The sequence below is a fragment of the Homo sapiens genome, chromosome 2, assembly GCF_000001405.40.
Source record: "Homo sapiens chromosome 2, GRCh38.p14 Primary Assembly".
Lineage (NCBI taxonomy): Eukaryota > Metazoa > Chordata > Mammalia > Primates > Hominidae > Homo > Homo sapiens.
The window spans coordinates 220,673,633-220,687,834 of NC_000002.12; the positions used below are offsets into that span (position 1 = coordinate 220,673,633).

A 14,202-nucleotide genomic window follows, 5' to 3' on the forward strand; every position below is an offset into this window, starting at 1 on the left:
AAGATGGAAATTCTGAAATTCCCTTCGTTAAGAACTTTTTGCTGATTCATGATTTGAGAATTTTTCTCTTTATGTCTAACTACTAGTCATGTCCCCATGATATGTAATTATTGATTTTATAAAAATTAACTCAGTCATCCAAGTGGTTGGCTCTTGTGCCAATCATATTGAGAGGCAGAATTTTAGTCATTAGGGACATGAGAAAACTTCCATTATCAACTCTAAACATTGATTTGATTAAAATTAAGCCTTCTGTCTTAATTACAGTCATTGATACTTTCATACCTATAATTATGGAAGAGTATATCATGGAAGCAAATTTCATAGTCATCCTTACAATAGAAATATGAATAGAAACTTTATAAATGTTTTAGTGGCATTCTCCTTGCAGCAGCTAGTAGCCTCTATTTTGACTTTTTGTTGATTTTATGATTTTGCTTCTTTTGAAGTACTCCAAGGATATAAGGAAAAGTGGTAATTTGATATTTTTCTACTTTATTCTGTCATTTTAGAAAGCAAATTTGAGTAAGATATGCAGGTTTCTTATCCCTTTGACCAAAATTACGGAGGAATGGAGAAGTGAAAAATGACCATAGCCCTCTCCTGGCAAGATTTTGAAGTGGTTGGAAAGTACCTGCCTCTGTGCTTTTCCTCACTGAGCCCCTTTTTCTTCTAGTTTCTTTGTCTCTCTCTCCCTCAGTGATGTTATGCTTATTATGTCTTTGTCCCTGCCAACACTTGCTCTTCAGATGTGTCCGCACTGAACCGGAGTGATGCATCTTCATTCAATTTATTTTAAATCAAAGTCAATGGATCACCTCTCTTGAGAGAATTGCCTTTTATTCCTTATCTATAAATACTAAGAGGGAAGCTTTGAAATTGTTTTAGAATGAGGAAATGAAGAGCTGTAATGAACCTTAAAAATGTCTGATACATTCTTATAATTCATCCATTTGTCTACTTTTTAATTTTAGAAAAACATTTCTGAATGTCTCTGTGCTCTGGGTGCCATAGCAGGTGTTAGTAATAAATAAAATATAGTTTCTTTCTGAAAGTGACTTACCCTATCAATCTAGTAAATGAGGAAGTAAATAAAGTCATGTAATTGAATTCAAATTTGTAGATGCAATTATATTGCCCTTACAGAGTGCAGTACAGATGAAAAGGAGAGGGGAATTTAGTATATCTGATGAAAGAAGTCAGACAACATTTCACAGAGAAGGTTATATTTGAGAGAGTCTTAAAGGAAAAGTATATGTTTACCAGGAAACATAGGAGAGAAGGGCATTAAAGGCAAAAAAGTTGGGAGGATAAGCGAGGAAAAGATATTCTAGAGATAGAAAAATCACAGGGACATTAGGTAATATTGCACATTCAGGGGCCTTCAAGGAGTTCAGGTAGCTAGAATATGAGATGCAGAGAAGAAACTTCAAGGGAACTGATAAATCTGGAAAGGAAGTTAGGGGCCATGTGTGCTATGTCAGTGTTGTTTGCTCTGAATTTATTTCTGGCCTTTGTGCAACCCTAGATATATCCATTTAATGGTGACTCTTAAGGTAGATATTTTGTGTAACAATACTCCAGACATAATGATATTCCCGTTTCCCTGGTCTAACATGGCAAGAAGCTTGAGCTTGTTTGATGGGAAAGACCTTGAAGGATTTTAGACAGAAAAGGAACATGACCAGATGTGCTTTGTCCGCAGCAAGGAGAATAGATTGAAATAGGACAAGCCTGGGAACACATCAATGATAAATACTTGAAACATCCCACACAACAGAGTCTGAATACAGTCGGTAACAACAAGAAAGCTGCAGGAGATCTTGAGCAGATAGAATCAACTGGATTTGGTCACCAATTAAATGTGAGAGATGAAGAAGCAGTCTTGGGAAAGTCCCCAGTTTTCTGATGAGAATGCTTGCATGGTATGGCATTTCAAATAAAACCAAGTCTGTGGGAAAAGGTGAGCTAAGCTGAGGGCTTGTGGAACTGGGGATATAGGTGGGACATCCAGGGAAACTGTTTTGTAGACAGTTTACAGGGGTCTTATGTGAGGCCGTTCTTGTATTGCTGTAAAGAAATACCGTAGGCTAGGTAATTTGTAAGAAAAGAGGTTTAATTGTCTCACATTTCTGCAGGCTGTACAGGCAGCATAGCAGTCAGCATCTGCTTCTGGGGAGGACTCAGGAAGCCTCCAATCATGGCGGAAGGCAAAAGGGGAGCAGGCACATCACATGGTGAAAGCAGGAGCAAGAGAGAGACAGGGAGGTGCCAAACATTTTTAAACAACTAGATCTCATGAGAACCCACTCGCTATTGTGAGAACATTACCAAGGGGATGACTAAGCCATTTATGAAAAATCTACCCCCTTGATTTAATCACCTCCCCCACCCCCCACCTCCAACACTGGGAATTACAATTGAACATGCGATTTGGGTGAAGACACAGATCCAAACCATATCAGGTCTGGTGCTCAGAAAATGGGCTGAGTAAGGCTGGAGGTACACGTTTGAGAGTCACTAGCACCAAAGTGGCAAACCGCTCAATGGAAGTAATTATCCAGCAAGCATTTGGAAAGAGAAAAGCATCAGTGTTGAAACCCTGCTGTGTGAAGACATTTAAGAAGGGAGAAGAGTTATCACCAGAAGGGGTCAATAAAGAACAGTCAGAGATATACTAAGAGTTGAGGGTAGGGATAGGAGTTATAGAAAATAATATAAGAACCATAAGCTATAAAACCATTAAATCAGAGTTTTAATGACACAGAGAAATGCTTACTTGAAAATAAAGAAAAGGAAAGGAGGGAAGAAAAAGAGGGGAGGGGAGAGAGAAAGAGAAGAAGCACAGTAAAAAGGCTTTCTTCTTTGTTGACTTTTTTCACTAAAAATACAGATTAGACTCTTAGGCTAATGTGGCAGTGATAGGAAAAGCCTGCATGAACAAGAAGAGAGAGATGACAAGGGACATTTTCACACCTGAGTTTGGAATTTGATGTGCGTGAAAGAGGGTGTCAAAAGATGAAGTCGGCATCTAGGCGGTGCCAAGGAGCTTCAACTTTATCTCAAAGGAAACATCAAAGCATTTTAAGCAGGGCAGAGATAAATCCAGGGTTTTGCTTTAGAAAGAACATTCTGACAGCTATGCAGAGGAAGGCTGGACCAGAGCAGGCCTACAAAAGGAGATTAGTCAAGAGGTTGGTGAAATCCCAGCCAGGGAAGATGAGACCCTTCATGAGGGTATGCCAAGTGGGCACCAACCCCATGACTGCTTGGAGATTTTCTTATCTGTCTTTGATAGAGTGTGGCTTGTTGGTCCATCCTGGGGGTCCTAATAATAGCCAGCAGTAGGAGCAACAAACCAATTGCCCAGCTTGCTCAGAAGGCAGATACTAAGCGTTGCTGCTACTTTGTATGACCATTCTTGGCTTTCAACAGAACAGTGTTTCTACTCTCCCCTTCACCATGCTGCAGCTCTAGTCTGGAAGAAGGATTGTGATTTCAGCACAACACAATTGCTCAGCTCAGCTCTAGAGGTGCATTTGCATCTGAGCTCTATGAATGGTACCCACCAAAGGCTTGCAGTATGCAGCTTTTAGCCTTTGAAGGGATTTTCCACCTTTTCTGCCATCCCTCACATAGAAGAATTACTAACAGTAATCCTGCAATCTTCTTGACCTATATTTTAAAGCTGTGGTTCTCAACCAGAGGCAATTTTGCTGGCCCAGGGGACAATTGACAATGTCTGCAGACATTTTGGTTGTCACAACTGGGAAGAAAGATGCCAGTAGATTGTTACTGGCATCTAGTGGGTACAGGCCAGGGATGTTGCAAAATATTCTACAAGGCACTGGACAGTTGCCTCACCTGCCCCAGCCCCCTACAAGAAAGAATTATCTGGTTCTAAATGCCAACAGTGTCAAGGTTGAGAAACTGTATTCTAAAAAGCTGGAACACTGTTTTCTTCAGAACATTTTATTTCATCGCTTATCACAAAAATGTATTTGTCAGGTTATCTCTTTCCAGCCATCTTGTATCTACTGCAAAGTGAAATGAAGGGTTGAATAAGTTGTCTGGCTAGGTTAAACCAAAAATTTAAAAAGAATTTTACTCATTTATTAAGTATTACTCTAATTATTTTTTTAAAAAACATTAATGGTTCAAAGTGTGCCTAAAGGTGCTAAAATTCTCCACTGTAGTTTCAGCTTTGGACCGTGAATTGATTGAGAAAACAAAAGTTGAAACATGCAGATAGGTTATCTTACAAGATTTTGGTCAAAAATATTAGTATTTTCAAGTACCTGTAAGCTTTTCCTACATATACTTAAACTCTGGTAAATCAGAGAAGATACCATCCTCTCTCACCCACTCCACTGAAATAGGATCCAAAAAAACAAATGCCCCAAACTTCAAGTTTGTACATTGAGATTTAGTCAACAGGTATAGGGCATTGACCCTCTTGAGAAATAGCCATCATCTAGCAGCTTCTCTCTAGAATATTAGCTTCATTTTCTTTTATTTTACTCAGAAAAGAGATTGTATTCATGTTATAATCCTCTCTTCCGGGATATTTCGAGGAAAGAACACATTCTGGCAGAATGCAATAGATCTATGCCTCTATAAGGCAGAAGACAATTCACACATCCCACAATTACTAAAAATGTATTAGGCTTATATTAGAAAGATAATCTGTCTTCTTAGCAAAGTTTCACTTAGTTTTTGCCACATTCTGACTTCCACTTTTTTCTAGCCATTATATATGATGTTAAAAAAAATTCAAACAGAATGCTGTATTTATCATAAACTAAAAATAAAACATATGTCATCAGGGCAGGTATTTAAGCATTCAACAACTCAAGTGAATGGTTAAAAAAAAAGTGTTCTCTGGAAGGATTATTTTATACTGTAATAAGTGAACTCCTTAGGATTAGCATGGGGACCAGTGAATTGCACAGGAACCTCAGAAAGGTAGTCTGGGGTGGAGTCAGAGCCCACTGTGTTCTTCCTCTTGGCAGCATGCTGATCAGGACCTTTGTCTAAATTGAATCTGAAATTGCTTTTCAATGTCATCTTGGAATTTCTAGAAGGGCACTCTGGCACCATATGTTCCCTTCTGACTTTGAGTAGGATTACCATGAGAGGCAAAGTCCTAAAATGTACCGAAAGTCATTTTTTTATGGTTAAAATATTTTCAAATAAAATAAAAATCCAATATGATTGTAGAGAAACCTGTTGCTGTTGTTTGTTTTGGAACACACTTCTAATCTTTGGTTATATGACTTCAAAATAAAAGGAGTCTGGCAGTTTAGACAATAGTTTGTATTATTACATACCCTCTACTCTGAGCTTCTTTAATAATCCATGCATATCTCTGCCACTGCATTTATCATATTAAATTTGAATTATCCCTTTATGTGGCTGTCTCCTTCATTAGAGTGGAAGAATTCAAGATAAGGACTATGTATTTGTCCATGTGTCATACCCAATGCCTAGTCCAATTACAAAAATAAATGCACAGATAGGTGGATGGAATGGAATTGGGCACTGAGAGATAGCATTGAGAATAGGTTGGAGGTGGCATTAATTTGGGCTCAGGGATAGCTGGAGCATATACTATTAATGAATTTTCAGGGAAAAGTCAAAGCATCAGGGTAAAATATATTTAGAAAATGCTGGGTTTGTTTTTTATAAACAGAAAGAGAGTTTATCATTTGTCTATATGCATTGTAAAATTTTGAAAAGAAATAGAGCATATAACGTTTCAGAAATTTATTTGACCACATCACACCCATTAACTATTTCAGAAATGGTATTCAGCGAAACATCATTTGGAGAGTGTTGGCTTATATCCAGAGGCCTTCTTCAGTGAACCATCTTTATTTTATTTTATTAATGTTATTATTATTATTACTGTTTTTAGAGACAGGGTCTCGCTCTGTTGCCCAGGCTGGAGTGTGTTGGTGTGATCATAGCTCACTGCAACCTCGACTTCCTGGCCTCAAGTGAGCCTCCCTCTTTGGTCTCCCAAAGTGCTGGTGTTATAGGCATAAGCCACCATGCCTGGCCCACTGCACCATCTTTAAAAGAAAGTCCAGAGCTATTGGTGAGAAAAAAAAGGAAGAAAATAGGAACTTGAAAGGTTAGGTTCTGGAAACTTAATTCTCTGAGTGAGTAGTGTGGGTTTGTGGAAAAGGTAAATTATTATTAGAAATTATTGGAAATTAGAATATTATTATAGAATTATTAGAAATTATTAGAAAACTATGAGTTGGGTAAGTGCCAAGCTTCAGGGGGGGAAAAAATACAAAAAAACCCTAGAGATTTAAAGAAGTAGGGTTCCTAAGTCAAACTAGTGACAAGATACCCAATTGTACTTGTTTTTAATACATTTTTAACCCTTCATAGTTATATATGAAAGTGGCTTTAACTACTGTTTTTCTTGCCTAATCAATGACCTTCAAACCACTACCTCAATGTTATCATCTCTTAAGACTCTGTCTCTCTCTTCCAACTTTAGCCACAGGAAATCATTGCTGTCCTTCAAACACGCTGATCACACTCTGGCCTCAGAGTCCTTGTGTCATTTTTTTTTTTTTCCCTATGTCTGAAAAACAGTTCCCTAAATACAACTTCTTATTCTGCTCTCCCAAAGGGCACTCCCTCAAAGATTCCTTCTCTATCTAAAATATCCTGCCAATACTGTCTCTTAATCTTCTTTACTTTTCTTCACAGTGCTTACTACGGCTTGAAATATTACATATATATGCATGGTTTGTTTTCCTTTACTGGAGTATAATGTTAATAGGGCACTGGATCAGATATTAAGGGTATAAAGACAAATAAGAGACAGTCCTTGCCTTCATGGAGCTTCCAGGCTTAGGTGAATATAGGTCCTTCTCTGTCCTCCATTCCCTGGACACCCCAGTCCTAATGAAGATGCCTTAGAATCTGTGACAAAGTAAGAAAACCAAGAATGGTTCAGTAATACCGAATTTTGCACAAATTTGCCAAAGATGTGAGAAAATCCTAGTCATAGAACTTCTTCACAATGTGGTTGTGAATTAAACACAACTTTGTAAAAGGTGAAATACTGTAAAACCACATATTTGGCCGGGCGCGGTGGCTCACGCCTGTAATCCCAGCACTTTGGGAGGCCGAGGCGGGCGGATCACGAGGTCAGGAGATCGAGACCATCCCGGCTAAAACGGTGAAACCCCGTCTCTACTAAAAATACAAAAAATTAGCCGGGCGTAGTGGCGGGCGCCTGTAGTCCCAGCTACTCGGGAGGCTGAGGCAGGAGAATGGCGTGAGCCCGGGAGGCGGAGCTTGCAGTGAGCCGAGATCCCGCCACTGCACTCCAGTCTGGGCGACAGAGCGAGACTCCGTCTCAAAAAAAAAAAACCCACATATTTATTATTATTATTAGTGTTTAACCAGCACTTACTTTTTATTTAAGCTTGTATTTCTGAGCTAAACTAATAAATTCGTCTTTCAAATGAACAACTTGTCTCTAGGCATAAATTGGGTACATTCAGAAACACATTAGCAATTTTAGGCTCACCAACTTTTAGAATTCTAATGCTGGAAGGGACCTCAGAGATCACCTAGTACAATCCCCTCATTTTCGTATTTATGCTTATGGCACTAATTATTACAATCTACTGCAATGAACAGTGGTCAATAGGCATTAACAGAGCCAGAGGAGCGCTCTACCAACTTGGCCTCTAATTGGCGGTTGCAACTCAATCTTGGCATAAGAGAAGGATTTTTTTTTCTTTCCTATAAACATATAACCTTGGTCTACATAAAGTGTTTCTTTCCATATTGAAGAGTGAGACAGTGGAGAAATTATACATTAGAAATTAACTGAGCTTTTCTGTCTTTGCCAAAGTGCATTTTTGCAGTAGGGAGAAAATAATCTGGATTGAAAATTGTTCATTTAATGTTCTGAGCCATTCTGAGATAAATATTCTGATGTGAAAATTCAATGGACTGCGTGATCTAAAGGAACATTCAAACAGGAAGTAGTCAAATCAATAGTGCAATGATCACGCTAGAGAAAGAAAAATGTGTTCTTTTATTAAGACACATTTCAAGAACCAGGGTGGCCTTCCTTGATAATTCACTTCAAAAATCAGCTTGTGGAAATGAGTGCAGGCATTTGTCAGTGACTCTGAGGACTTTAAGAAGTCTTTGCACTGTTTGCACTGTTTTTATAATTCCACTATCATTTTTTTAATCCCCTGCTATAAAGTACAAATGTCATTAAAGGGTCATTTTGGGCTTTTTGTTGTTGTTGTTGTTGGAGGGTGGGATAAGAAGTGAACATTATCCAAATTTTAACACTTTTTTTTCTTTTTCTTTTTTCTTTTCTTTTCTTTCCTTTTCTTTTCTTTTCTTTTCTTTTTTGGAGATAGTCCCACTCTGCTGCCTAGGCTGGAGTGCAGTGGCAAGATCTTGGCTCACTGCAACCTCCACCTCCCTGGTTCAAGCAATTCTCATAGCAATTCTCATGCCTCAGTCTCCCAAGTAACTGGGATTACAGGCGCAGGCCACCGCACCTGACTAATTTTATATTTTTTATAGAGACAGGTTTTCACCATGTTTCCCAGGCTGGCCTCAAACTCCTGGCCTCAAGTGATCCATCCACCTCAGCCTCTCAAAGTGCTCGGATTACAGGCATGAGCTACTATGCCCAGCCCCCTTTTTATTCTTCATTATTTTCATCGATTAAATTAAGGATGATTGAAATATTCTTATCACCATAATTATTACTTAATATTTACAGATCTGACTTAAATTTTTATTATAATTGGTTTTAAATATTTTTAAAAGAGTTTGCAAGGAGCAGGATTGATCAATTCAACATATAAAGGATAGCAAAATAATACTCTTGACTTGGATATAAACTATTATATGTTGGAGTTTATATATACTGCACACTAAAAAAAAACTTTTAAAAGTTGTACAACAGTTAAATGGCTTTTTAATTCAACAATACACAGCATCTGGTTTAACTGACTCTTACTGGCATTCACTTGTCACTTTGGGATTGTGGACAGAGGCTAAACTGTTTACCAAATGAATACTCAAGCAAAGCTCCACTGTTACAATTGAAGAGGGATAACAGCAGTCAAGCATTGTACCAGCGTATGACTAATAACTCCAGGCAATAAGCTGCCTTAGATATAGATCTGTGTTTTGTAATGAAAATGTAATCATAAAACTTAGACTGGAGTTTCTATCCTGCTAAGCCAAGTTACCATCAACAAACATGTTAATACCTGACAGCACATTTCAGCACCTTAGTGTCAGAAAATCAGGGCATGCCAATTTTATTCAGAGCTCAATGAATTCCACCTACTTAGGCATCTCCCAGCTTGTGGGTTAAATGTAATTTTAAAATTCTGATTGCTCGATAATTGATAGTCATATTTTAGGAATTGTATTGTGTTTCTTTCTTTCTTTTTTTTTTTTTGAGATGGAGTCTCACTTTTGTTGCTCAGACTGGAGTGTAGTGGCGCGATCTTGGCTCACTGCAACCTCCGCCTCCCAGGTTCAAGAGATTCTCCTGTCTCAGCCTCCAGAGTAGCTGGGATTACAGGCATGCGCCACCACACCCTGCTAATTTTTGTACTTTTTTAGTAGAGACAGGGTTTTGCCAAGTTGGCCAGGCTGGTCTCAAACTCCTGACCTCAGGTGATCCACCCGCCTTGGCCTCCCAAAGTGCTGGGATTACAGGTACGAGCCACCGTGCCTGGCTGGAATTGTGTTTCTTATTCAAGAGGCAAGTAATAATTTATAGTAAAGGGTTTTTTTTTTTTTAAGTAAAATGTGTCTAATGTTTCACAGTTTTAAATACCCTGTGGCTTATTTAACAAGGATATTTTATAACAGAATTATTCTATTCCTCTTTTTCCTTCTCTCATGTCCTGTGTTGTACCTTATCCCATGTGTCAAGACAAATGTTTCCTATTAACAAGACTGCGTTATACGTTTTAGGACTTATTTTTAGTCATTCATTCCCCAAACATTTATTAAGTTTCTTTTCTAGGGCAAACAACACTGTTAGGTGCTAAAGCTACAAAAATGAATAAAACAAGAGTCCCTTCTCACTGGGAGCACACAGGATAGACGTTCATGTAAATAGATACCCACAATATATTTTCATAAATAATGTAATCAAGTTAGGGATGAAGACAGTAGAAGTTTGGGAGAAAGAACAACTCAAGTAGACCAAGCAAAGCCTGTAAAGAGGAGGCATTGGTTTTAAATCTAGAGAAGAAGTAGGAATTTCTTAAGGAAAAAAAAAAAAAAAGAAGAAAGTTTATTCTAGGGACAGAGATGGCATGGCCAGGGCCCAGAATGGCTTGTAAAGGGACATTTACCTTTGAGGAATGGTGAGGAGTCGGGTGGACCTGGATTGAAGAAACCAGTTGGGAAAAATGCCCTGGGGAATATGTGGGCAATATTGTTAAGAGCCTTAAATGGGCTTTGCCAAACTAGTTGGACTTTATCCTGACAAAACGAAACAGTACATGGTATTAAAATACTAATTTAGACTTTTAAGATTATTTCCTGTTTTTTCACCTGTCAGTTAAAAAAATAACGTTTTGGTTGGCTTCACTTACTTTGCATATGTTTCCATGGGTTACTTTAACACCAGAATGGCATCTGTGGAAAACAATCTGAGCCCAAGACTAGAGTCTAAACGCACAGGGTTTCTCTGAATGACAATATTCAAGAGACTCACATAAAGCCCTGATCATCAATCCCCAAAAAGATTAATGTCCAGAACAAGTTCGGAAGATCAATTAGGGAACTTCAGAACAAAGCCATGAAGCATGTCTCTACGGCTATGGCGGGTGGAGTAGGTAGACGGCTGCATGTTGATATTTATGGAACGTTAAAATAAATAACTGTGCCCAAATATCTAACATCCATAATTGAATGTATTGAGGTGGGGAAGGCACTGTCCCCTGAAATTGCTATTAAAGCACTAGCATCTTGCCTAGAAGTTACTGTGTGAGCATATTAGCATCAAGCGCCCCAGCCACCTAAAACACACCAGGTATTCAGTGAACTCTCAATTGGAAAGGAAATTTGAATCTGAGGTATCGCCTTCCCCACACTGGCCAAATAATGGCATGGCAGAAAGTCCAAAGGAGGCAGAGAGATGGGATGGAACTAGGGAGAGGTGTGAAAAAGCTTTAGTTTCTTCTGACCCAACTATCACATCCATCATCATTCTGAAGGTTTAAAAGCCTGAGTCACTAAGTCATAGAAACTAAATTGGGGGAAACAGAAGCAAAACAAAGACACTTGTGGCTAAATACATTCAGGTGTCTGTGAGGTACCAGGTGTTAGATTTGAGTTAACTCCTTTTCCAGATCGGAAAGGACCCTCAGGTCTCCCTAGATCTTTGTCATTTGGTCTGACCACCATCAACCTTTCTTTCTGGCATCATCTTGGCTCCACTTGTCCCCTGGAAGGAAAAGATCTTTCTTACATAAACTCAGTATTTTATCTCTCTGAATTCAGACTGACTTCGCAGTTGCTCCCATCCCCAGTGTCCTAGACAATTCTAGGGTTCCTGGTAGGGCCTGACCAGTCCGTGGCAGCTTTTGTGACATGCTGATCATTGTCTGATACATGTCCCTAGCCAGCTTAAAGCTGAATGTCTCTAGCTCCCAGCCATCGACCTCAGTGGTGGTCCCACCTCATGTTGCACTATTCTCTTCCTTGTCAGCCCTCTGTGACAGCTTAAGGTGGAGTGCTCTTCTCCCGCATCAAATCCCCTTGTATCCTTCTTTCCACCTAGTGAATGACTATCTCCATTCTACTTGAATGTAGAAAACGTCAAGGATTGACAATACAGAACTCACTGACTGGCCAAGCATCCAGTCCAGATTACTTCATCCATAATAATTTCCCTGGGATGTGTATATGTGTGAGGGGAGGATGGGGCTAGGGTTGCGTAGCAGAATCCCAGAGTCTCCATTATCACTGTGTATTCACATAAATGAAATATGTGCTACAGTCATCATTATTATAAATTGAAAATAGTTATTGAACACTTACGGTGTGCCAAGCATGTAAAAATGTTTTTCATAATTTTACAATTTTAGCTCTAAATGTCATAATGTACTGCCCTTAGAAAAAAGATGCCAGTTCTCTACATTTGCAGAGCATTAGGCTTGATATGACATTTTTCCAGAGCTCCTTCTGGTTTCCTCAATAGAAATCACCACTCTGCCTCTCTTGACTTAATGCGGGAATATTGCCTGTCTCTCAGACACGTACACACACAGGCACACAGCCATGTGCACACGCACACACACACACACACTCACACACGATTTTCAATTTCCTCCTGCTTTGTGTTTCATCGGGGTTACGGTCACAGCGGCTCCCCTGCGGGCCCCCCACTTTGTTAGCATTCTGATGTTCACTTATCAGTGAGTGAATCAAGAACAACACATCCCCTGGTAAATTGGGAGTTTAAAAGGTGTAGTCACAATACGACAAAAAGTGCACATACGACATTATGAGCCAAAGTGAAGTTTTTGAGCAATGTAAAAAAAATAAAATAAAATAAGCATTTTTCTGCAACATTTCTCACCTAAGAATAGCAAAGTTGGAACATAAAGACAAATTTCTTAAGGCTCCCAGAAAGCCCAGGATTTAAAGAAAGTGAAAGGAAGCATAGATCCCACCTGTGCCTTGACCCATTTTCTGAGATAATAAACCAAAGATCCCCTGCCTCCTCACTCGCCACCCCCCGCCCAGAAAAAAAACTCATGATGTTACACAGAATTCTTTATTATTTCCACAATTTGTCAATACCCTATTTTCAATTTTCCCATGGAGAAGGAATTTCTGCCTGGTTGAAAGGAACATAAAAAAGCTATCTGGATATAATTCTGCTAAATACCCATGATTTCATAATAAAGCACTCAATTTAAATAGCTGTTCTCCAGGGCACTGATTATGGTATTTCCTCCTTAAACTGAACAAATTTCCCTTCCCTTTTCACAGATAAGTGCCAAATCTTAGACATAACAACCTGCTTTTATAAATTCAGAGTATTTCTAGAGTGGCAGGACATCAAATCTGAAATATGTAATATCACCAAACTAATGTTTTGGTTTGTCCTCAGAGCCCAAATCATGTTTTAAATCAACATCAGCAAGCACTTTACTAAAGATCTCTGAAGAGTTAAAAAGATCATATAGTATGGCACATAAAAGTAGCATATTTTCCTGGTATATACCTATTTAACGGTGTTAATTATATAATCATGGATTTAATGCATTTGAGTTTTACTTCCTTTTTTATTGGGAAGCAACTAAAATATTTTTCTTACCTTAAAGATACTCTATTATATAATAGGACTATTAAAGCACCTCAAATATCATAATATGTTTAGATTTATCCACATTTGAGACTTCCAAAAGTCATTATTCTTGAAATATGTATTATTTTGATAGATGTCCATTTTAATTATTTGAAAGATTCAACTTTAGACTCCACCTTAGGGGAGGCCTTTGATCTAGGCTAGTTGATAATTAATGTCCACAAATTCAGTATTCTCTTTGGACTATTTTCTCCCTTTCCATGCTTGTAACTTTTAATACCTGGTGCTTACACCTTACGAAGTTTATTTTAGTGTACATGTCCTTCAGGATGGATTGTTATTAAATTGTAGTAACCAACAACCCCCAAACTGTAGAGAGGCTTCCGACGAGGAAGGTGGATTTCAGTCATGCTGTACTTCCATCTGGAGTCAGCAGGGGGCTCTGTTCTACACTGTTCTCTCTCCGGGGCCCAGCCCGCCCAAGCAGGACAATCTAAAATATTGCAGATCATGGTCATGAAGGGAGGGAACATGGTGAATCATACACCGGCTTTACCCAGAAAGTAGAAATTTTTTTTTGGTTTTTACCCAAAAGCGAGACACAAATCTTTTGCTCACATCCTCATGACCGAAACAAGTAATAATGTGAAGGGGTGCAGCAATGCCATGGTATCACGTGCCTGGATGAAGGGGACCCGGAAACGCTAGTGAAGAGCATTAAGGAGCCATCCCGTTCTGAAATACATAGTACACTGTCCTTTGCACGTGCAAAATATGCTCAGCCTTTTTTTTTCGGGTGAGACAACCCAAAATTGCCATTCGGTCACAGCATGTAGCTCAAAGTGCAG

The 14,202-nt window shown here is 38.8% G+C and overlaps 2 annotated features.

Annotated features, from left to right (window-relative positions):
* Window positions 517-576: an enhancer, noted in NCBI's record as "active region_17158". NCBI's record gives its function as "activates an Ori minimal core promoter by ATAC-STARR-seq in GM12878 lymphoblastoid cells {active_cell/tissue: GM12878}" and the evidence as "EXISTENCE:reporter gene assay evidence [ECO:0000049][PMID:35858748]".
* Window positions 13,637-13,931: an enhancer, noted in NCBI's record as "tiled region #1647; K562 Activating non-DNase unmatched - State 13:Ctcf". NCBI's record gives its function as "activates a minimal TATA promoter and a strong SV40 promoter by Sharpr-MPRA in K562 cells {active_cell/tissue: K562}" and the evidence as "EXISTENCE:reporter gene assay evidence [ECO:0000049][PMID:27701403]".